Here is a 24,792-nt window from a genome sequence, read left to right on the forward strand (position 1 = left end):
CGTTTTTCAGAAGCCTAAATAGAGTGCAAAATGAGGTCCACCTGCAAGACTACAGTTATTACTTCCTCCTTTTTCTTGGAAGCATCCATGCATTGTAAATTCTGTTTGTGTGGCATCAGCCAACTACATTATTAACATCACCAGGAGGAATTAAAATGTATCATGTTATAGGATCAAAAGTTTCACATTCTGAATCAATGCCAGTATAAAAAGAATGTCCAGACCCTTCCGTCTGACTACAGTCGGCAGGGATCCCCGCCCCAGCAGCCATGTGACTCACTTCGCATTGTGGTGAGGGTCACTCATGGCTCATACGGGCCTGCGGCCCGATAGGCCTCCCCATGGGGCAGCATTTAGCCTTTTCAAAATCAGCTTAGGATCACAGACCCTCAGGTCTTGAAGGAACTTTTTGGAGTTTCCTCTATTAAACCCAGTTTTAATCTGGTCATTTAGACTGCATGTCTAGAAACACTACAGCATTTTTAGTAGTAAACTGAAATAAATCTTCAAATAAACGACTTTAACATTTTGCACATTGGTCCAGGGGCAGAAGAGCTCGTCTGTTGCCTTTTAGGAGGGCTCTAATCTTTTTCTGTTTCAGCTCATCGGGTCCTCATTGTCCCCTACTGTATGTGCCCAGCACAATGTCAGGGCACATTTCTACACAATGTTGGATTCCAGCTGATCCTCCGTGTTAATCCATTCGTTAGTGCCAAATTGCAGGGTTCCTTGCCAAGCCCGTCAGCACAATCAGAGCTTCTGAAGTCAGGTACCTCAATTACATTAGTTCAGTTGTCTCATTAGCCCCCATGCATCATCCAAACTCATCATCAAACGTGTTTTCCTTCATTATTGTTGTCATTTTCTTAATACCAGTCTTGTTGAAAAAGGATTGTTTTAGATACAATTTTGCCTAACTTGTTTCATCTCCAGAATACAATCCTAAATAGAGCCAAGATTTGCCGGAGAGAGGAGATAGCGGTTGAGGCTGGTGAAGCTTCCCTCCGGTTAGAATTAGAGAGAAGTGGATGCAGAACTTGGGCCAGTAATGGACCCATCCATCTCCCTAGTCAAGAGGACATTCTTGCAGCCAGAGGTGGTTCCGCTTTGGAAATGATCTACTTTGTGTAAACCGGTGCATCACAGATACTGTTAGAGTATCTCACAGATACTGATACAGCATGGTCTGCATTTTGTAGATATGAGGGCTCTCCCTTAGGTTTACAGCCGGATAAAGGAGCTCCACTTACCTGGTGATCACAGGCATGTGGTCCACCCTGCTGGGCTCTAGGACTTTGAACATAGAGAAGGCTATCTTTTAGGAAGACTGCAGGATCAGGAGTCGGGAAGCAGGGATTCTGCTTGTAGTTTTACATCTAGCAGTAACAACTTTTAGCCCATCCCTCACCTACTCTGTGCCCTGGATTTCTTGGCTTTAACATAGCAAAAGCCTCTCTTTATAGTTTTCCTAACTCCATCTCTCCCCAAAAAGCTGGAGATGTAAGTTTTAAATTCCAGTCCTTGGCACATAGTAGGTGCTCAATCTCTCATCCTTCTGTCCCTCAAGATAGCCGATGGCTCAGCCATATATGTTCCAGACAGGTCTCTCTGTGTCTTTTGGGAAAGCCTTGTTGCTCTCAGACTGGCCTCTAGGCCTCATGTTTTCCCACTTGCTCTTGCCTTCAGTGTTAGGTCATGGGCTTGCCTCATTACCTGTTTCAAGGAGGCCTCTATTTGATCCCTGGAGCATCCCTGGGAGTCTGAGGCCTTTAAGGACTCCTGTGGTCTCAAGGAAAAAGAACTATAAGTAGTTCTCAGGCTCCCTTGATCAATTCAAAGTCATCTTCAGCTCTTCCAGTGCAGCCCCTCCAGAGCTGTTGAACGCCACCTTTTTCCTCTTTCGGGAAACCCACAAAACCTTGCATGGGGTTGTGCTCTGTATGGTTTTCCAGCATCAAATTCACTCATCAAAAGATGCATCAGGAGGGTGGAGGGGGTGGCGCCTGGGGTGAGGGTCAAACAAGGAAGGCCAGAATGCCTGTTTGCATTCGCAACGGGAACATTGGAAGTTCGGGTGGAAAAACAATCCCACCGGCCTTTATTTACCACAGTGGGTAGCCTCGGGAGGAGGGGGAGCTGGGTGGGAAAGGAAGACAATAGAATGCTGTGTTGCCTTGCTGTAAAAGCTTGCTCTAAGCAAATAAAGTGGCAAGCTCAGTCAGAGCCCTGCTCAATTAGCCCCAGTGCTTAAAGGAGGGTCTCCCTGCAGCTGTTGGCGGCGGGCGGGCTGGAGCAAAGGCAGGCGCACTCTGGGGCACTCGGGAGGCGAACCGGCAGGAATCTTGCATGGGAGCTGACCCGGGAGGGAGACCAAAGGACCCTCCAACCTGATCCCAGTCCCTGCTTCTTGAACAGAGGGCTACAGAAGGGGTTGGTGGGGCCACTCTGGGGAGAGGCAGTGTGGGGAGACCACGGAGGAGGTGACCAGAAAAGTGAGTGCAAACGTTTCATGCCGAGAGTGACCGACATATGGAACGTGTTATCCGGAAGGGTTACAGGCTGGAGGAGCTCCTAGAGTTTTTCAGGGGGTGGGGTGGGGGAGGGGGAAGCCTTCAGAAACTCAAGGAGGTTTCTAAACAAAAGGAATTTGAGAAGGGTTGGAGAAATAATGAGAAATGCAAACTTGACCCAGAGTTTCTCCTTCCATCTCACGGCTTCTCCCCTGCCTGTCCTCACATGTTTCCAGTTCATGGGGACCCAGGAAGGCCACTGGAGCCCTGTGCCTGACTCCACGTGCACCTCACTGGGGGTGTGGGTGGCGGGGTAGGGAGGACCCGCAGAGCTGGCTCGCTGCTCTGTGCTGAAAGGGACCCAGAGAGCGAGAGCCCTGCCTGGCTTTAGACCCCTGTGGACTAGCAGGCTGCTAGCGCCGGGATGGTCTCTGGATGATTTACTCCGGTTCCTGCCCTTGCTGGAGGAGCAATTTGATGCCGGACTGGGAGTGAAAAACAGACTTGCCCAGGGACTCACAGTGGCCAAAGGGGAGGCTGGGAGTAGACGCAGGCTCTTGATCCCTTCTGCTTTTTGGCATCTCCCCTTCTCAGCATCCCTTGCCCAGCACACCACGCACACATGTACATACACACGCAGACACACACACCAAACAGATGCACACAGAATAACAACACCACACCTACATGCACACATACACAGACATACATGCAGCACAGACACACACAGAATAACACCACACATACATGCACACCACAGATACACAGAATACCACACACACATGCACACACACAGACACATTCACAGAATACATATATGCACACACACACATACATACATGCACCACACAGAATAACACCACACACACATACAGACACACAGACATACACATACATGCACACATACAGATATACTCACAGAATACACACATGCACACACATGTATAGACATACACCACACAAGCAGAATAACACCACACGCACACACCACACACACACACAGAATAACACCACACACATATGCACACCATACAGAGACACACTCACACCTAGACATATACACCACACTCATACAGAGACACATGCACACACATGCATACTACACACATGCACATGCACACACAAAAACATACACAGACATCACACATGCATACATATACACAACACACAGACACACCCACGGGCTTACACAGACACCACACACACGTAGATATGCACACAGCACACACACACACAGAGAAACAGACACACTCGCAGGCATACATGCATGCATACACACACTACACACAGACACACTCGCAGGCATACATGCATGCATACACACACTACACACAGACACATCTGCAGTCATACACAGGCACTACATACATAGAGACATACAATGCACACTCACACACAGACACACATAGACACATGTTGTGTGCTCATGCGTACACGAGCGCGCACACACACACACTGCCTGACTTGTTTCCCACAAGACGGGTACTGGCCTGTCGCTTGTAGCCCTCCTGTCCCAGCCTGTGTTGGCCAGGGTGCCAGGCACTGCCACCCCTCTTGGGACAAGGTACAGGTGGCCAGTGTGATCACGGCCTGTTCTGAGAGCCTCTTCCTGAGCCAGGAAGCGCTGTGTGATACTGAGTGCCCGTGCCTTCGTCTTTCCCATGGTGCTGGGTCTTGGCCACCTGCTGCATTGATAGCACCCGCATGTTCACTTCCCTGGCAGTAGAAAGAAATGTAGGTTAGTGCAGGGAGGTCACTGGCTTTGGAGATGGTGGCAGGGTGGAGCAGTCTCTAATGTGAATGGAAGTGCACATGCCCTCTGGACCTGCAGCAATGCTGGCTTCAGAGGGGCCTTCTCTGGTACCTTTCCAATTTTCCCCAACCAGGTAGAAGAGCCACTGCCCAGTGTCTTGGGCTCAACTGAAACCCCCTGTACAAGAAAGAGACCCCCCTTTCCACTGTGTCTCTCTCCTCCTCCCCACTCACTGTCTCTCTGTCTCCCTCACTCCGTGTCTCTCTCCTCTCTTCTGTGTCTCTCTGCCTCTCCCTCTCTCTGTTTCTCTCTGTATCGCTCTTTTTTTTCAATCTCTGTCTCTATCTCTCCTCCTTTCTCTTTATCTCTCTGTCTCTCCCTCTGTCTTTCTCTCTGTGTGTGTTTTTTTTTCTGTCTTTCTGCATCTCTGTTTCTGTCTCCTTCTCTCGGTTCTGTATCTTTGTCCCCCTCTCTCCCTATCTCTGTTTCTCTGTCTCAGTCCCTTTCTGTCTTTATGTCTCTGTTTATCTCTCTCAGTCTCTGTATCTCTGTCTCTTTCTCTTTTTATCCTTTCTCTGTCTCTTTGTTCTCTATCCCTCCATCTCTCTCTCCCTCTCCCTCAGTCTCTCTCTGTCTCTTCCTTTCTCTGTCTCAGCCTCTCTCTGTCTCTGTATCTCTATCTCTTTCTCTCTCTCCCAGTCTCTCTCTTTCTATCTCTCTCTCTCTCTCTCTCTCTGGCACTCACTCACCCACTTACTTGAAGTCTCCATGAGCAGTGGGTGGCTTCACCTTTCTGTTTCGCCACTTTGCAGTCCGACCCGTGGGGCTTGCAGACCCTCTTCTGGCGCACACCTTCAGGAGACCAACGGTGCCAGGGCACTCCCGTGTTCTTCAGGGTTCCAGCCCCGAGTAGTTGGTAAACATCAGTAATCGTCCTAGAGATCCACTGTAGATTCCTCATCCAGGTACTGAATGAGGCCCTTCTGAGCAAATTTAATGGAATGACCTTGGTGACATTACAAGATGACGGCTCATCTCCTGTAGTCTATTATTGTTGGGCATTTAGGTTGATACTATGTCTTCACTATTGTGAGTAGTGCTGCAGTGAACATATATGTGCATATGTGTCTTTATGAAAGAATGATTTATAGTCCTTTGGGTATATACCCAGTAATGGGATTGCTGGGTTGAGTGGTATTTCTATTTTTAGGTCTTTGAGGAATTGCTTAGGTCTTTGAGGAATCGCATTTGCGTTTTCAAACATCATGGAGAACACAGGTCTTGAGGATGTGCAGGAACATGGAGACCAAGGAATGAAAAAGCCATCAGGTTGGAAGTGAAGTCACCCAGAGTGATTGCAGGTTTATGGACAGAAAGGAAAATGCTCTGATTCCTGGTGTCCATGAGGAAGGTGGATGCCAATAGATGGTGCTACACAGACACTTGTGAAAGGAAGAAGGGAAAGAGTCTGCCTCCATGGGCTGAGTAGGGCTGCTGGGGCCTCAGGCTTCACACATAGTGTCAGACATGCTGTGTTGGTCAGGTTCATCTGGGACCCCTGTGCCTCCCCCAGGAAACCCTATTGGTAGGTGTGGGCAGGCTTCCCTCCATGTGTCCTTAAATACACTGACTGCTCTGTGTGTGACTGTGGATGAGCAGCGTAGGGCTGGTCATCTGGAGGGCTGGGCTTGGTTCCAGCTCTTGTACTGATGGATTGATTGGTTTTGGGCAAGTCACTTCCCCCCATAACCTTTCCATTGTACCACAATCCTAATAGAGTTGGATGCCAGTTTCTGGCACCCTGGGCTTCACAGGGACACAGAGAAACAGAGAGGACCAGAAAATTAGGCTGATAATAATCATTTCTTCTCTATTTGGTCTGGAGAAGAAATGACTTAGGGTTGGCACAGGTTAATATGTCAACTAGAAAGAACCTTTGAAAATCTTTAGTTCAAGAATTCTAAACCTAAAATCTGTGGGACACTAGGATGATTTTTATGGACTCTTTGAATCACCCTGAAATTTTTTAAAATATTTTTTCTTTATGGGCACATGTGTGGTTTTTTAGCAGAAGGATTCCTTAGCATTGATTACATTGTAAAAGGGCCAACAATCATAAAACAATTAATTCCCCAGCATCATGTTATGTGATTCATAACTGAGGGGTCTCCGCAGATGGCATTTGGAAACGTGCGGGTCCTTTTTTTCAGTTGTCAGCATGACTGGGGTCACGATGGATATTTAGTAGGTGGGGGCCTGCGTTGCATGCGTGGGGGATTAAACTTAACAATAAAAAACTGTCCTGTTTGAAATCCCAGTAGCACCCCTCTGGAGAAACACTGCTCAGGAACTGAGCCCCCAAGATGCACAGTGATTCTCCCGTGGCCACAAAGCTCATTAGTGGCAGAGTTGGTTTTTATTAACAGATCAAAACAGGGGATGTGCCAAGAACCTACATTATTTTGTTTCTCATCATCAGCTGCAAATGTGCTGCAATCTGTGAAAACAAAAGAATCAGAAATCTGTCCCACCTTCAACGCTCCAGCCATTTTTAAAAATGAGTCTTTGGGTTCTTGGTTGTTTTTTACCATCAAATGAGAAATGAGGAAAGGAATATTTTACATTTGGAGAAACTAAACCATAAACAATTGATCCCACTAGCCCCATATCACCTAGATGTGTTCTTCAGCTACTGTGAATTGGTGACGCAAGCCTTAGACTGGAAATTTCCCCTTTATGTTTCAGAGGATCTGTCTTGAATGTCTCTTACTCTACAAAGAAAGAAACATTAATATACCAGCATGCTGCTTGCTACCTAGTTTACTGCAATGAAGTGGCAGGTGCCTTAGACTTTGGAGTGAAATTGAGAGATATTCCGCAGTATTAGCTAAGAGTTAGGCCTGTGGGATCACAGAGACAGGGGTTTGTTCCCTGGCTCTGTCTCTCAATTGATGTGTCTTCTTAAGAAAAAGTACTTAATCCTTCTGAGCCTCAGTTTCCTTGGCTGAAAAGTGGGGATAATAATCGTATCCACAAAGATTAATTGAGATCATCCATGTGAAGTGTTCCGCACAGTCTAGCATATGGGGAGGCTCAATAAATGTGAGCTGTTATTACAAGCGATTATTATGACTTGTGTCTGTGATTAAAGACAGCCTGAGGTTCAGAGTGTTTGTGCCAAAATTGCTTTCAGAGGACAAGCTCTGGGTTGGTTTTTCAGTCTTGCCCAGCTGCCCAGAGTCACTAGAGTGTTTGGGGCTGGAGTCACAGTGTTTATTAAGTGCCTACCACACACTCCAGTTTTGATGGAAGATTGGTTTTCTTCCTGTGTGCACATCCCCGCATCACTACATGAGTGGGTGAGAAGAGACTCAGAAAAGCACCAGACACATGTTTCTTCTGCCTCAGTTCCCTAGTCTGTAAAAGTACTCAAGAGCATGATGGCGGCCACAGGGAACAGAGGGGAGAGACACCTGGAGGAGCAAAAGACAGTCCCAGCTGTCAGTCTTCAGACACCATGGTTTTCTGGAGAAGGGATCCAGACCAGACCGCCAATCAATATAGCCGCAGACCGCCAGTCAATATACCTCATCCTTGTGAAAGGCGGTTGTCTGTGTGGCAGCAGGGAGACAGGAGGGGCCATATTTGACACAAGCCTGCTGGCCAAGTCTAAAGGAGTCAGCCTGCCATCTGACCACACTTTCTGCAGCCAAGTCCTCTGGGGGCCAAATCAGTATGGTTTGAGTTTATCCCCGACTTGCTGCTATGGTTGATGCACACAAAAAAGGTTTGGCCATTGCCAAGCCAGCTGTGGTCTTGGTTTGGAAGAGGCAACCAAAGTAAGAATTGAAGGGAAGGCATGCTTTGGGATTTCCCTTAGCCTTCAACCCTCTAGAGGAAGCCAACTTCTTTATTCTGCCATTTTGAGACTCATGCTTGTCTGGGTGGATAAGATAAATACTTTCATCATTATCATCATTATTATTAATTATAATTATTGAAAATCAATTACTCAGCAGCCCCTACCTTGTAATGGTATCACTTACAGTTGTATAGCATTTTGCAGACAACGTATACACTAGACCATAAACTCAGCTCGAACATAAGCATAAATTTAAAACAAAAACATTGACTTGGGCAGCTATTATCTGAGGTCAAAGTTATTCTTTAATTCCAGCTGTACCTTCAGCTGCCTATGTCGCTGAAGCAACTTCCCCTTGTGTGTTTTCACACTTAGAGATTGGAGTAATCCAGACACAGAAAATGATACCAAAATTGAAATGTTTCTGAACGTTAAATGATTCAATAATTTGAAAATAGTTTCAAATTTTTCAAAATTCAAAAATTTGAAAATAGTTCGACTAGAGCCCATCCTCACCTCAGGTAGTTACGTGGTGTGTGTGTGTGTGTGTGTGTGTGTGTGTGTGTGTGTGTAGGCACACAAACCCATGCATGCACACATGTATGCACAGTGGTGGATGAGTGTGAGTTACCAAAACAAATACCACTAAATGCAGGATAACACCATGATGGCTAGTAGCTGGATTGACTCAGATTTTCTCTGCAGATCCTTCCTAGTCCACCCTCCTTCCATGACATGGGAGTTTGTGATATGCAAAGGATAAAGTAAACCTGAGTTTCCTGGGGCTTGTGTCGGCATACCAAGCTCCTTTAAGATCTCTCTTTGCCAAGATGGGGCTAAGCCAGAGGCTTCCTTGGCCTGGGGAATAACTGTCCTACCTTCCTCCCTGGAGCGGCTGGCGCACACTGTTTTGACGTGTGCCATGCCTTCCATCTTTTACGGCCTCGGGGCCAGAGGAGGGTATGCTTTGAACAATGTGAAATTCCTCTCCTAACAGCTGTGCAAAGGAAACTCACAGCTTTCTATCTCCATCTCGGTCCACTTAGCTTTCTTTTGGGGTATAGGTTTCTTGTCTGTTCAGGGGTCCCTGTTCCTCACTTTCTGGCCTTCAGAAGGACCAGTTTCAGTACTTCCTTTCTTAGGGAGGCAAGTCAGTCTTCTGAGGTTCTCTGTTTTATTTTATTTTATCCTAGAGTATGCCTTCACTGTTGACCGTGTCTTGCCTCATTTCTGCTAAGAAGCCAGCATCTTCTGAAAATTGAGTGTCTTGTCCTGTTTCAGATCTTGGGCCGAGGATTGACCATGTATGTTAGTCAGTTTCAGAGCCCTGAGTTTTAAGTGCTAAGTTTTAAGGAGAGGAACAACAGTAGAATTAGATATCTTAAAGAACAGGATAGGAATCCACTTCCCTGCCCCTTCTCTCACCTGGTTTGACACTACATAGATACAGACCTGTCCTGAGTTCAGGGATTGTCTAATGAGGCCTCACCAAATACCAACAGAGAGACTAGCTGTTTCTCCTCTAGCTCACTGACTGCTTCTAGTTTTCCGTGACTTTAGAGCATGTGCGTCAGCAGGTTTTGGGGACCATCTCTGGCCTGCTTTCTGATCTTGGCTCTGTCCCTCAATTTATGTCTTTTTTGTGCTCCATAAGACAGGGAGTTTCATGGTTGCCACTACCCGAGAGGTGTGCTAAAGTGAATGAGGTGGAGGACACAGAGCTAGCAGGGAAGAAGGTGCCGTGGAAACCCACACAGCTTTATTCATGTGAGCTCATTTCTCATTTACTCCTTGTAGCAATGCCAAGTCACCCCCTCCCTTCATCCCTTTCCAAGCATTTCCCTCCCTTGTTGGTTTTGGATCCATTGTAACCCCAGTGAGTTAACCTACATGTTTTAGTTTGAATCTAATCATGCTATTTCCAGGTTGCCAACCCCCACGGGTGCTTCAGCCTAATTGGTCTGTCCTCACTGGTGTCTGCAGCACCTTCCCTTTGAGCGTCATCTGTGCATTTTAATTAATCTGCCACTTTTTCCTCCCTCCTGCTTCCGGATCATTAATAAAGAGATTAACCAAAACCAGACCAATCCCCAGCGGAGGCTCCACCAGGATCTCTCTCTCCCAGCTCTCAGCTTTGTCATGGGTCAGAACATCATCATGTGGCCCCATTGACTAATTCTGAGGCCTCAAGACCTATGTTCAGAGCAAAGCCAGTGTGAATTAATTTTTCAATTAAGATTTGGGGAACAAGCATAGCCAGTCTTTTATATATGGCCTTAGTTTAATATTTCCACCACATTCCTTTCCCTTTTGTAATTCTACTTTAAATCTATCACTTTCCCACCTCTCTCCCTTTCCAGTCCCTGAACAAGACATTAGGGTTATCTGGCAGGATGTCTCCTGAGCCTGTAGCATTAGTCAGAGATCATGTCATAGCCGAAGAAATTCTCCAAAGAATCAGGCCCTTCTGGACACAGCTGGCCAGCGTCCTCTTTGACCCCAGCCAGAGAATGCATTTGCCTCCAGAGAATATGGCTACACCAGAAATAATGAAATCTCTTGAATTTGCATATTAAAAATTTGGCAAATTAAAATTTGCTTTCACCTCTGCTCTCATGACTCCTCTCTGAGGAAAGCTAAAACAGAGCCTTTCTGCTTTCTTTGTAAGTCACCCAGATTTCCAGCGCTGGTCTCAAACCCAGGATGTGAGATGGTGCACTCCGTGTTCTGTCCACTACAACACAGGGCCTCTGCAGGCACAGGTGACCTGCAGATGGGCTGCACTGGAGAGCATCAGGCCCAGGAGGGACTAGGGTGAGGGAATTGGATTGTGTTTACTTTTGTGGGGGATGCTTTCATAGGGAATACAGGGAGGAGGACACAGGATTGATGGCCTCAAATCTCTGCAAACTCTGCTTAGAGCTGAGGCTTCTTGGGGAAGGACACAGCCTGCTGACAGCAGCCGTCCTGGCTCCAGGCTTGGAGCTTGGGCTTCCCCTGGAAGTAAACTCTCTAGAATGTTTGAGAGCAAGGACAGACGGAGAGGCAGCCGAGTGTCATCATTAATAACATGAGCTCTAGAGCCAGAAGGTGCAAATCCTGACTCTGTTGCTTGTTAGCTGGTTGTGGAACCCCTCTTTGCCTTGGTTTCCCCATTCAAAATGGGAAATATAATAGTACGTACTTCAGGATGGTTGTTACTAGGATTTAAGATTTATGTAAGCCAGTACCTGGCACTTTGCATTTTTATTCTTGGTGATCTCACCCCTAAGCAGTCTAAAAATTTACTTCACACATGTGCAGCAAGAGGCGTCTTTAGGTACACGGTCAGGAGGTGCTCCTGTGTAGGGAAGCTGGTCCTGGAGAGGTGAATTGGAACCTGAAGGCTGCAGCCCAGTCTCTGCACGTGACAGGGCAGACGCAGGTTGCTGGGGGCTCAGATTCTGTGCCACTGTCTACCTCAGCTTCCTTTTCCATGTCAGCTGCTTCTTGAATACCCCCAAACCCTCTGTGGATGCTGTAAACTGAGCCAAAAAGGAGGAATCAGAAATTGCTCTCTTTTGAGTATTTTGAGGGATGGTGAAACCTTGTAGGAATGTTGCTCCAGGGACTGAGAAAACACCATATGTGGGAAAGCGTTTCTAAGTGAGGAAAATCGCACATGCACGTCGGTCAGGATCTTGGAAAACTCTGAGCAGGGGAAATGGGCACTGGGGAGAGTGTAGAAAGGGGGTTCACTAAGGTCTTTAACAGGTCTTTTTCTAATTATAGCCAAGAAGAGCCTGGGGACCATGGCCGACTTCAGAGCCAGGGCCTGTATTTTCTTTGGGAAAAGAAGGCAGAGTTGATTGGCTTCCAAAACCAGGCTTGGCAAAAGCCCATGCAGGCTCTCCAGCCAGTAAGCAGTGCCTGGGGTAGGTCTCGATCGTAGCAGGCGCTCATTCAGTAAATAGACGTCGAAAGTCCGCAGCGTGTCCAGCCCTATGCTGGGAGTCAAGGATGTGTGGATGGAAAGGACATGGTCCCTGTCGTCAAAGAGAAGGCACACCAACAATAATAGCACAATATGACAATTGCTTAAATGAAGCTCTCTGCAGATGACAGGGACCCCTAGAGAAAGAGCGTAGACATTCCCCTAAATAGCAGAACTCGCTGCTGTGCCTTGCCTGGATGGAGCTGGCACTGCCTTCCTGTTTCCATTCCCCACTCCAGGGAACTGGCCCACTGGGGGACTCCCACCCCGGACATGGAGTGAGAAATGAAGGTATTGGTGGCCAAAAAGTGACCAGAGATCAGAATGCATCTATTCTTGCCCCCAGCAAATTCAGAAACACCACCTCTCCCTTGCCCGTGTTTGCTTTCGTCATTTGTCTGTTCTCTGGGCTTCGAGTTCATAATATTCCTATCTTCTCCCACAACCAGTGTAACTGGTCTGAGATCCAAGCAGTCGGGCACCATGGCATCTGGGGGAAAGCCTTGTGGGGACCGTGTTGGTAAAGATTGCTGTGAGCCAGATGTAGAGGAGGGAGCTCTCCAGACTCTGGGTCCCTCGCCCGTGTGCGTCAAGGGCAGGTGTGCACCATCTCCCGTGGCCACAGGCCATTCAGCTTCATGTTCTCTAACATTTCTAGTGTGCTCACTCTGTACCTGATGCTATGCTAGGTGCTTCCATGTGGATTTCATTGTTTACCCCTCACGATAACTTTCATGGTGCACAAGCCATGTGATTTTTGTTGCGCCTACGAACCAAATGCCCCCGTCACTCTCTGCCATTGTTTAGCAGTCTGACCTTAGACAGCTCACTTCACCACAACTGCAGGCCTCCGTTCCCTTATATGTATAAATGAGGAGGTTGTCTAGGGTCCTTTCCAGCTGCAAACCTCTGTGTTTTGGGGAGTTCTGTTAGCAACATTCTTGGACTTGCTCTCTACGAGAAAAGCTAGAAGTCGATTATTAAAATGGAGTCCACAGGAAGCCTGCAGGGCTTTAAGACAGCCTTCTAAAGAGTTTAGAAACACTCACCAGCCTGCAGATGACTTACTCCCACTACTTATTACAAAGTATCATGGCAAGTAAGAAAGAAATGGTCAGCCACTGGGAGAGCAGGCTGAGGTTGCAAGGAAGTGGCAGGTGCTATCGTTGGGATCTTGGGGGAGCATTGTAGAAAGGTCAGCTTTGGAACCAGGCACTGAAAAACGGGTGAAATTTCAACAGGAGAGGCAGTGCACATGGGTTGTGATTTGAGCAGCAGTGAGTAGTGAATGGGGTTGGAGCAAGAGGCCTGTGAGCCCAGTCATCACATGGAAAAGGGAGGTGAGGGCCAGAGTGCAGAGAACCCCTCTCACTTTCCTGTGGGTCTCTCCTCTTCTTTTTTTTTTTTTTTTTTTTTGAATTGGAGTCTTGCTCTGTCGCCCAGGCTGGAGTGCAGTGGCGTGATGTTGGCTCACTGTAAGCTCCGCCTCCCGGGTTCACACCATTCTCCTGCCTCAGCCTCCCGAGTAGCTGGGACTACAGGCTGCCACCGTGCCCTGCTAATTTTTGTATTTTTTTTTAGACGGGGTTTCACCTTGTTAGCCAGGATGGTCTCGATCTCCTGACCTCGTGATCCACCCACCTCGGCCTCCCAAAGTGCTGGGATTACAGGCATAAGCCACCGTACCCGGCCTTTCTCCTCTTCTTTAAACTGCATTTAGGTTGTCCTCATCTATAAGATGAAGGAATAAGATTAGATGGCCTCTTTATATGGCTTATCTACTTCTAATAAACTTTGGTTCCATATTCCAGCCACCACCCATAAAGACTCTTACTTTTTCCTCCTCAATCCATCAGCATCAGCCAGCATTCTCCCTCTCAGTTCATCCTGGTCATTACCTCACTAATCTGTACCTTGACTCTTATTCTACCTGGGACCTCCCCTCACTAACCATACTTGATTTATTTCCTTAAGAGCGGATATCCTGTGTATTCTTAGCTTACAGTGGCTGAGCTTTTGGGAGGTTTAACAAATTGTTTTTCAATAGACTCTCAGTCCTAAATGATTTTATTGCAGCTGTATTATTCTTTTTGAGGGGAGTAGAGAATGTAATCCTAGTTGTATGCCATATTTTTTGTATTGTTCAAGTTGCATTTTGTTGGGCCTGTAATATTGAAGAAAATGTCACTTGTATGCAGAATAGGAGGGAGATTCCTTATGCTGTAGAGGAACCATTTTCCTAGGATAGTACAATTCCTTAGAGTCATCTCTAAGGGTGAGCAGCAAAGCTAGAATCCCTCTCTTGGCTTTGACCTTGAAGGAGTCAGTTTTCCCAAAGACTAGTTCCCATGGAAAGAAGATGGTCTCCTTATCACAGCAGCAAGAGGAGGCAGTATGAGCAGAGTGCCTCACTGTTGTTGACCTCTAGGGACAAGTGAGCCGGCAGTATTTCAGACAAGCTGGGAAAGAGGCTGTCTGTGAGTCCTGGGAGCGAGTGAGCACTGGCAGGCTCAGACATAGGTGCTGGTTAGCAGGACTGCTTTTCTGTTTCTTGTGTCGGCTTTGTTTATTTCCTCTCTATTTTCCCCCTGGACTTAGTAAAGTCTTTCCGAAAATACCAAAGGTGAACCAGGGGAAGAGTTTTTATTTTCCATGTTTGGACAGAACTTTAAAGAGGAAATGATGTACCCCCCTGGGAGCCAGTGAGGTGGCAGCGATGGTGATTAAGGAGTGAATATCTCAAGGAGGTGGACGAATTCGGGGATCACTAGCTCAGCTGCCCCTCTCCACCTGGAGCATCTCCTTCCAGTGCTACCCTCAGAACATCTGGGCTTTGCTCTAGTGAGGGAGAGACTAGCAATGAAGGTGTCTTGAGATCAGCACTGTAATTCCACCAGGACGCCACCGGAGTCCGGTGTTAAGCTTCTACTATGGCAACAGAATGAGAGCGTGGATGGGTTGAAATGCCATTTCAACAAGGAAATAGTAGAATTAGAAGAAGCATAAGCACTAAAAGGAACATTTTGTAGCAGAAATGTTAAAAATCTAAAGGAGGCAAGTGAATCAACAATGACTCTTCTATTCTGGGCAAGTCCAGCCCATTTATGTAAGGTGGTTATTCTGCATCTCTGTCTTCTGCAAGTAGTGCTGTGGCAGAGCTGCGTTTTGTGGAGAGCGTCCCCGGGGATGGAGCAGATCAGTTGGTGATGCGTATGTATCAGAAAGCTCGGCAGAGCACCCTGGAACGTAGGCCCTCTCGCGGAGTGGGTAGTGGCCCTACATGTTCATTTCCAAGGGCAGGAGAATAGACCGTTCCAGCTGCGGCCTGGCCAGGGATGACCCCACATCTGACACTGCAATATGGGGGCAACTGAACCAGTCCTCAGCCTCAGTGTGTTCCAGGGGCTGCAGCTGGGGAGCAGTCGAACTCTTTCTTGAGACAATTACAAGGCCACCGCTGCTGCTGCTGAAGGGAAGTTACTCCATGTTTACAATTCTCAGGTTTGAAGTTTTCATGCTTTGCCAAGGTAGAGTGAACCATGCGTCTTTGCAGGCTCAAGGGATGTTTAAAGAAGCGGTAGGACATCGTCCACCCACAAGCAGAGACCGCAGGATAAAGCAGACATCCAATGTAAATACAACCCGTGCAAAAAGCAGAGTCGGCAGACCTGGAGTGCATTCGCAGTATCTCCCGGGGGTGGGGGAAAGAAATCACCTCTTCAGAATGTCCAGAGGGGAGTTGCCTTGCTTACCTGGGGGGCGGTACCCTCTCTCGTGCCCTCACAGGGCTACTCAGCCTCAGGTAGCTGGTGCCAGAATAACACAGACTCAGCTGCCAGAGCCTGCTCTTAACACCTGTGTTTCCTTTTCAGATCTTACAGGTGAACAAGGTGATGTCCATCTTGTTTTATGTGATATTTCTCGCTTATCTCCGTGGCATCCAAGGTAACAACATGGATCAAAGGAGTTTGCCAGAAGACTCGCTCAATTCCCTCATTATTAAGCTGATCCAGGCAGATATTTTGAAAAACAAGCTCTCCAAGCAGATGGTGGACGTTAAGGAAAATTACCAGAGCACCCTGCCCAAAGCTGAGGCTCCCCGAGAGCCGGAGCGGGGAGGGCCCGCCAAGTCAGCATTCCAGCCGGTGATTGCAATGGACACCGAACTGCTGCGACAACAGAGACGCTACAACTCACCGCGGGTCCTGCTGAGCGACAGCACCCCCTTGGAGCCCCCGCCCTTGTATCTCATGGAGGATTACGTGGGCAGCCCCGTGGTGGCGAACAGAACATCACGGCGGAAACGGTACGCGGAGCATAAGAGTCACCGAGGGGAGTACTCGGTATGTGACAGTGAGAGTCTGTGGGTGACCGACAAGTCATCGGCCATCGACATTCGGGGACACCAGGTCACGGTGCTGGGGGAGATCAAAACGGGCAACTCTCCCGTCAAACAATATTTTTATGAAACGCGATGTAAGGAAGCCAGGCCGGTCAAAAACGGTTGCAGGGGTATTGATGATAAACACTGGAACTCTCAGTGCAAAACATCCCAAACCTACGTCCGAGCACTGACTTCAGAGAACAATAAACTCGTGGGCTGGCGGTGGATACGGATAGACACGTCCTGTGTGTGTGCCTTGTCGAGAAAAATCGGAAGAACATGAATTGGCATCTCTCCCCATATATAAATTATTACTTTAAATTATATGATATGCATGTAGCATATAAATGTTTATATTGTTTTTATATATTATAAGTTGACCTTTATTTATTAAACTTCAGCAACCCTACAGTATATAAGCTTTTTTCTCAATAAAATCAGTGTGCTTGCCTTCCCTCAGGCCTCTCCCATCTGTTAAAACTTGTTTTGTGATCCGGCTCTCAGGAGTCACTCTGTAAAATCTGTGTACACCAGTATTTTGCATTCAGTATTGTCAAGGCCATGACTGTTGTTTTAGTAAACTTGTTAAAATCAGATGATGTCAGAGTTGTGTATAAACACAGTTATATCCCTCTTCTGGTACATTTAATGTTGGGTTAATGAATTAAAAGAACTGTTATGGCCTGCACTTACTTAAAATGATACCCTGTAGCTCTGGCCAGCAAGTTCTATATCAAATTCTCTGCTGTTAGTTTGGCAAATTAGAATTATGATTTGCTCCAGTGTTATGGTCCTGGAACAATAACAACGACCCTGGCAATTTTAGTTTTGGAAGTTTCTTTGCAGCACATTTGTTGTTTTGGGGTTTGGGGTTGTTTAAGGGTTGAATTTTTTTGTTTTGGCTTTGGTTTTTGTTTTGCTTTTTGCAAGTGGTTTCATCTTTTTAGGCACATAGGAATTTTTTAAAACTATTTGTAACAAAATAATTGCATGACTACCCAGAAGCAAACTGAAATGGATCATGAATCATCTATACATAGAGGATAAATTTATTTATGGCCGACTCTCAGCCTGTGACCACCCCTCCTCATCTGCCAGCCCCTTCTAGAGCTGTGAGCAGAGTTGGAAAGTGCTAGGGCTTTGGAGTCGGACCTGGGTTCAAGTTCCAGCTCCTCCCCTGTGAGCTTGTCCAGGTTTTAGAGACTCTCCGAGCCTGTGCTTCCTAGGGTCAGAGTCAGACAGCGGTCCTTGCCTACGTCCGAGGAAGGTTATAACCCCTGAAACTTTCTAGCATAGCGCAGGCATTCAAGAATGTTAGTACCTCACCCATTCCCTTCCATCCCCCCGAGATGTAAAATGCCTAAATGGAAGGGAACTTCTTGGTGCCTTCTGAGTCCCAACAGGAGTCCATGACAGCCAAGGGGTCATTGTGGTGATGGCCTCACCTGTCATGCCCAGGCAGGACTGAGGGGACACCAGGGATGTCCATCAAGGAGTTTGTTGATGCCCATTTCCCATTGAGAAGCAGCTCATCCTCTTGGGGTTGGAACATAAGGATGCTCATCTCCCATCTTGGCGGAGGTACAAGGTGTCCACTAATCCAGCACTGCCCTGAAGCCCCGCCCTCTGCCCAACCTGGATTGCCCTGCATTCATTAGGGCCCAGCTGTCCTACACACTGACATCTCCTTAGCACACACCTGTATGGAATGTGTCCTTTATGGGATGTGAACTTTTGAAATAGACTCAGCAAATAGCAGTAGCCTTAGTTAGGAACATCATGACACTGCACTTGATCTTGGATGCCTAAAATATGGGGGAAGGAAATAAGGAATTGACCATGTGCCCATCATGGGCCAGGCATATTCAAACCCTGCCACCATTAATTGTCACAAATCCTTTGAGGGAGCCAGTATCATCTCCAGTTTACAGGCGAGGAAACTGAGGCTGGTGGGTTCAACTAGCCCATGGTCTTTAGTAAGTAAGTGGCGGAGTGAAGATTGTAATCTACGTGGCAATGATGGCACAGTCTTGAACCCTCGGCACTAGTCTCTCCCTCTCCCACATAGCAGCATCACATTTCAGAGTGGGTATTATAGTCCTAGTTATATGAAAAGCACAGCCCTCTGCATGGGAACCTTTTGTCCTATTGTTTCACTGAGCCTTCATCAAGAACACAATAAACCAGCTGATAGGACAAGGAGAGTCTTAGGACTAGCCCAAGCCCAGTTATCAGGAGCTCGTCATTTCAAAGTGACCATTTCCCTGGGCTTCTAGTAAGCCCTCCACCCCTAAAACAGCAGGCTGAGGGATACTGCAGCTGACGCATGTCTATAAAGCTTGAGTCTCAATTGTTTAGCCAGCACTGCAGGAGCAACACAAGAATGTAAAGAAGCAGTTTTATGGCCCTGGTTAACAGTGGATTCTAGAAAGTTGGAGAAATCTGTTGAGTTGCCGCAAATGCTCCCTCACCTGCCTATCATATGGCCTTTCTTTCTATCTTCAGGCCTACAGTTGAGGTGCCTTTAAGGTCCTCTTCTGGAACTTCTGAATGGTAGAGGGTGGTCTGGTTTATTAGGGAGATGGTCTTCAGTGACAGGACCCCAGAACCCAGCCTTGCGGGGCACTGACCCTAAGGAGTAGAGCTGAGTCCTGAGCTCTGCCTGGAATGCAAGGAGTTTGCTGGCTTGTCCAGAGCAAGTCTGGAGTAGCATGCTTCTGGGCAGGTGCAGCTCTGAGGAGAAGAGACTTGGGGATGAGACAGAAATATTCCCAAAAGGAACTCTGGGCTGCAGGCCATCTGACGGCTCAGCCTCACTCATTCGGAAGGCCAGGGCAATGTGGCAATACCCGGTTCCATGTCAGTAACTTTATTCAGATGCTGCCAGAGTCAACGTGTTAGCTCTGGACCCAGGGCAGAGCCTTCTCGAGGTGGATAGGAGGCCTGTTTCTATCTAATGTACACATTTGCCATTGGGGTTAGTTGAAGATTAAACCCATCTCTGAGATAGGAGAGGCTTGGAGGGCTAGTATCTGGCTCCTGGAAAAACTCCACTCTCTCCTTATCTTCCCTTAGTGCTTAGTTTCTTGCAGGGGCTTCATTAAGCAGAGGTATATTGCAGTGTGAAGAACTTGAGTGCACAGGAGAAAATGGGGTGTGGGCCAACTTTATTGCCAATAGCTGCATGGCCTTAAATAACTCCCTTGTCCTAACTGGGGCTTTCAACATCATGAGATTCTATTGCAGAGAGGGGCAGAGTCCAGATGAATAATCTTCACTTCCTTAATGAATGCTAGGGTGAGAAGCTCTGTTGCCTGTTGATGGGACTCCTTTCTGCCACATGTGAGACTCTAAAATTCTCCCCTCTTACAGACTGCAACCTTGAGCTTATTATCTAGTCTCTCTGAGCCTTTGTCTACTTGTCTGTAAAGTGGGGATAGTGGCTACTTCATAAGACTGTTTGGCAATCTAATAAAATCATCCATTTCCTGGCACATAAGAAGCCTCCTTCAGCGTTAATGATGATGTTTGCAAGGTTTGCAGGATCCCTCATTCTGTAATTTTGGTGGGACTTTCCAAGCTCCGTAGTGGAGGATTAGTCATAATTAACATGTATTAATCATGGACTTTACGGGAGGTGGACCTTAGGGTGGGATTTGCCCATTTCCTTTCTGCAGGTCTCTTCAACCAAACTACTGACCCAGTCTTACTGACAAGGCCTTTAATCCTCAGTTGACAAACCAGGGAAGGTATTTCTAACCCTTCCAGGTAGTGAAATGTAACTTTTTGCTAGAAGTTCTGCCGACATGCTTCTCTGATGTGTACATGTGTGAGTGTGTGAGTGTGCATGCATGTTTTGTTTCCTCCTTGCAAATTATAGCACGGCTTTTCTCTTGTGTTTCTGCCTCTCAGTCTCTGTCTCTCTCTCGTGTTCAACAATGCTTCCTCTAGGCTGGTGTTGGTGTTTTAGGGTTTGGTATTTCTGAGGACTTTTCTGTTGCTGTTCCCTTTCCTGTGTTGTGTGTGAGCACATGTGTGTCTATATGTGCTTTATAGTTCATTTAGTCAATGTAAAAATCCTCCACTGAGGCTTGGAGAAGCCATCTGCATTTATTTTATCGCTTTTGAACATGTGTTCAGGAATGAAGGCTGTGTAATCAGTTTATTGTTACCTGGAGATTTGTCTGGCTTCACCAGGAAGACGCACCCCCTGCCCAGGCTTCAAACTCTGAAGGACCTGGCAAAGCCAATGCCAGGTCCTCGGTGAAGCCTGGCTTTGCCTCGCTGAACTCCTGCCCTGCTCAGCTGCACCATAGGCTCTGCCTCAGTGAGGGTGCTCTGAAGCCTGGGGAGCGGCCAACTGTCCACAACAAACATGCCACCCTCCACAGCCCTGGCCCCAGGGCCTCGCACATGCTCTGTTCCACAACTAGGAACAGCCGCAGTCACTGAAGACCACAACCAGGAACAGCCGCAGTCACTGAAGATGGATTCAGCTGGAAACTTCTCCAGCCTAACCTTCTTTCTCAAAGACCCCACCCCCAAATCTAAGGAGACCCAAACTCCTCACATATGCTCTGCCCACGTTACAGTGGGCGAGTGGGCTTCTCAAAAAGCACACTTGTTTCACAGCAAGCTGAGATGCAGACGTCTCTGTGCTGACATAGCCCCCTGGGTTTCTGTTTGGTTCAGATGGAGATTGGCCCAGCTTGAATGGGCAGAGCCACAGAGCAGGTTAGAAGCACTCCGAGGGACTATGGGTTTGTTTCCTACAATCCTCAACCTATGTTTGGTTGCAGGGTATGGCAGGCCAATGAAACAAGCACAAATATGCCTGTTGTAGGGGCCAGGGATGGGAGAAGCAAGGAAGTGTGGAGAAGGGGAAAACTCCAAGGATGTCAGAAGCCTTTTCTCCTAGGAACTGCCTACCACCAATGAGTTGGGCTGGGTTGAATTGTTGCAGAGTTCAGTAATGCCGTTGCCAGGTGAATTATAGAAGTCTCTGTGGCAAGAAAACGTGAACGTTTATTGGGAAATTGTGAAACACAGCCTAATGAGTTTGAAGATTTTCACGTGAGACATATGAATGGGTGGGCATGCATGCGTGTGTGTGTGTGCATGGCTGCTTTGATATCCTAACCGGAGAGGCATTGCATTTTTTTAAGGAAAGGTAATGCCTGCAAAAGAATGCTCCTGAACACAAGGTTAACCTCTAGGAGATTGCACTGGTGGCCAGCTGGGGAGCATATGGAAAGTGAACATTCTTGGGGCTTGAAAACAGGCTGATGGGGTGGAGGATTTATAGACAGAAAAGGCATCCAGCAGACTCCAAGCAGCCTAAACAGAAGGAGCCGGGTTTGTGGGCTCTCTGACTTGGTGGAAAAGCATTCAAAGCTGGTGCTGGGATTAGGGGTGGAGATGAGATCAGACCAAGGAATAAATAATAATAAACTTTCTTATTGGTGGCTGCTTCCTCCAAGTTAGGCACTGTGTACACATCTCCATGGGTACGCAGTGACAACCCTGGTAGATTTAACCGTTTTGTGCAGTTGAGGACTTTTGACTGAGGACTTTGGCCTAAAGTTGTACAGCTGGTAAAAGGAAATGCACAGATAGGAAACCAAGAGGTCTACGTGGCTTGGAAGCACATGCTCTTAACTATGTGAGTAAGACAGCAGTGGAGAGGACACTTAAGTGCTTCAGAGGGCCCTGACAGCTGAACTGCAATGGGCTGGAGGGAGCGAGGAGGGTGACATGCACTTGGCACACAGGAAGAGATCATAGGTTCAATGCCGCAGTGATACCGACAATTGTTCTACCTGAGGGAGATGCCAGACTCATGGGTAACTGGCTTACGGCAGCAGACATTTTCAGGAGGTTAGGGAGGAGGAGTGGATCTCTTATCCCAAACCCTTCATTCGCCACCTAACGACTGAAGAATCACTGTGCTAGGGGGAAGGTGGTTTTGCTTCTGCCTAAAATATAAGGATCAGCACATCTGGAATATCCCTTTGGGGCTTTTGCAAATAGATAGAAGGCAGAAATTTCAAATTTGGACAAAATCTTTGAGATCCAGTAACCTATCCTTCCTTACAAGGCAGAGATCTATTTTTATTCATTCATACTTTTTTTAAAAAAATTGTCAAGTCCCTACTAGGCTCCAGGCTTTCTTCTCAACTCTATGGGCTCTGCACATGAGAAGCCATCCCTCCTGGAGGAGCAATGAGTAGAAAAGACGGGACCTTAAGGGATAGCCGCTTAGACAATTCCCACGGCCTCTTGATAACCACTTCTCCCTCACCAGGCAGCTTGCTCTAATTTGAAACAGCTCTTACCATATAATAGAAAGCCCCTTCCAATGTTAAAGCCACATCTACAGACAAAATAGCTGTAACTAGGTTGTCAACCAAAGCTCAACTAACTAAATGCTCGCCTGAGGCAGTCAAGGAAAGCCTCCATGAGGAGGTGACCTCTTAGCTGGCTATTAATGGATGAGTAGGAATTTGGTAGGGAAAGATGGCGAGAATATTCTAGACAGGAACAGCCTGGGGGAAAAGTGCAGAATGGGGAAAGGGCCTAATGTATGCAAAGAAAAGTGGAAGGTTTGGGGTAATGAAGACTTTAGGACTGTGGAAAAGGGGAAGTTGAGACTAAGTAATTCAAGGCTGAGGGGAACAGCTATGAAGTTGGATTTGATTGTTTGGGATCTCCTAAATTGAGCTTGCACGAGAGTCACATGGAGGGCTTGTTGAAACCGATTGCGGGGGGTGGGGGGCCCATCACCTGAGTTTCTGATTCATCACGTCTGGGGTGGGGGCAGAGAATTTGCATTTCTAGCAAGTTCCCAGGGATACTGCAGCTGCTACACACTTGGAGAATCAGATTCACTAATCAATGAGGAGTCAATAAGGGTTTTTTTTTCTGCATTTTTTAAGAAGATAATTTTGGTGGCAGTATAACTGATGGATGGACTGGGGACAGACTGATCAGGTTGATCACAAGTGAGGGCCTAGACTAAAGAGAAGACAATAGGAGTGAGGAGATATATTGGATTAGAAAAGCATTTTTGAGATGCAGTCAACAAGATTAGGTAACCAAGTGGATGTGGAAGGCGAAAGAGGAAGGCATTAGGAAGATGACTCTAGCACTTCTCGAATCATGATGGTTCTAAATCAAATGCAAGAAGACAGCAAGACAGTGGATTGGAAGACAGGAACTATATAGGAACTATAGGCACTGGGTGCGAGGTTCTCAGAGGACATCAAAGTAATGGTATCCAATAGACAGCTGGTTATTAAGATAGAAGTATGCTTGAAATTATGAAAAAACACCTCTTGTTCATTTGGAAGTAATCCAGCATAGGTGAGCCTCTCCATGTACAAATGGTTCTAGTCTAAGCTCAGTGGAAGCCCAAATCATAAGCTCATCAGCGAATCAGGGTGTGGGAATCTGGACTCCCAATGGGGATCTATGGGTCTGGCCTCCATTTCAGAAGGGTTATGTGCTCACCCACTTGATCACTTTGGAAGTTGGGGGGGAAAAATGCTTGGAGATTGCTGAGGAGAAAGAAATGACCATTTTGAGACTCACACCATCTGCATCTTCAGATAAGTGTCACAGCAGGGCCGTAGGCCTTAGCAGCCAGCTTCAGACACCACCATCAGAGACATTTCAGGTTGTATTTTAAAGGAAAAAGCCAGCTATTGGGAAGCTGAGATCTAAAGATTCTTGTCAAAAAAAGAACTTATTGTGGTTGTATTTTCTGGGCTAGAACTTTTCTCAGTTGTTAATTTGACTCCTTGAAAGCCTCTTGGTCTATTAGGAAAAAAGATTCCTCCTTCTTAAGAAAATCCTGGAAGTGGGCAAACACCTTTCTGCTGCAGAGCTTTCGGGCAGGAGTTCCCTCTGCCTTAAATGCTCTTCTTTCTTGCTAGGCTCTGTTTGTCTGATTCCCACCTGCTCAGCCTTCCTTTTCCTCAGGGGATCTTTCCCGACGCCTCCTCCTGAGTTACTTATGGTCGACCCTTCCTCACAATTTATATGATCCTATCACATAACACAACTGAAATTACAGCTGTGGGATTATTTGTGTCATTCTTCTTTGCCCTGTTGCCCCATTTGGCTGTCATCTACATGAGTCCCTAAGTCATGCTGATTTTCGTCAGAACTTTATCCCAAATGCTGAGCACAATGCCTATGCCATCAGTAGGCACTCAATAATGTTTGTTGTACAAATGAGTGAATGAATCCCCTTCATAAACAGGGATTACAACAGGAAGAAGGACTGGAGTCAAGCCCCAGGGAGAATGG

General features: G+C 47.0%; 1 protein-coding gene across 4 annotated transcripts in view; it reads left to right on the plus strand.

The window, feature by feature from the left end:
- NTF3 (neurotrophin 3) overlaps positions 1 to 17,076 on the plus strand; it is a 64,968-nt gene extending 47,892 nt beyond the window's left edge. For 3 of the 4 annotated variants that reach the window (XM_047428901.1, NM_001102654.2, XM_011520963.3), the window contains exon 2: positions 15,971 to 17,076. In XM_047428901.1, coding sequence (XP_047284857.1) covers positions 15,992 to 16,765 — 774 coding nt within the window. In that variant the 5' untranslated portion in view covers positions 15,971 to 15,991 and the 3' untranslated portion in view covers positions 16,766 to 17,076. Of the gene's footprint in view, positions 1 to 15,908 lie in introns of those variants that run through there. The other variant, NM_002527.5, reaches the window with a different exon arrangement.

Source organism: Homo sapiens, chromosome 12 (assembly GCF_000001405.40).
Source record: "Homo sapiens chromosome 12, GRCh38.p14 Primary Assembly".
NCBI classification, from domain to species: Eukaryota; Metazoa; Chordata; class Mammalia; order Primates; family Hominidae; genus Homo; species Homo sapiens.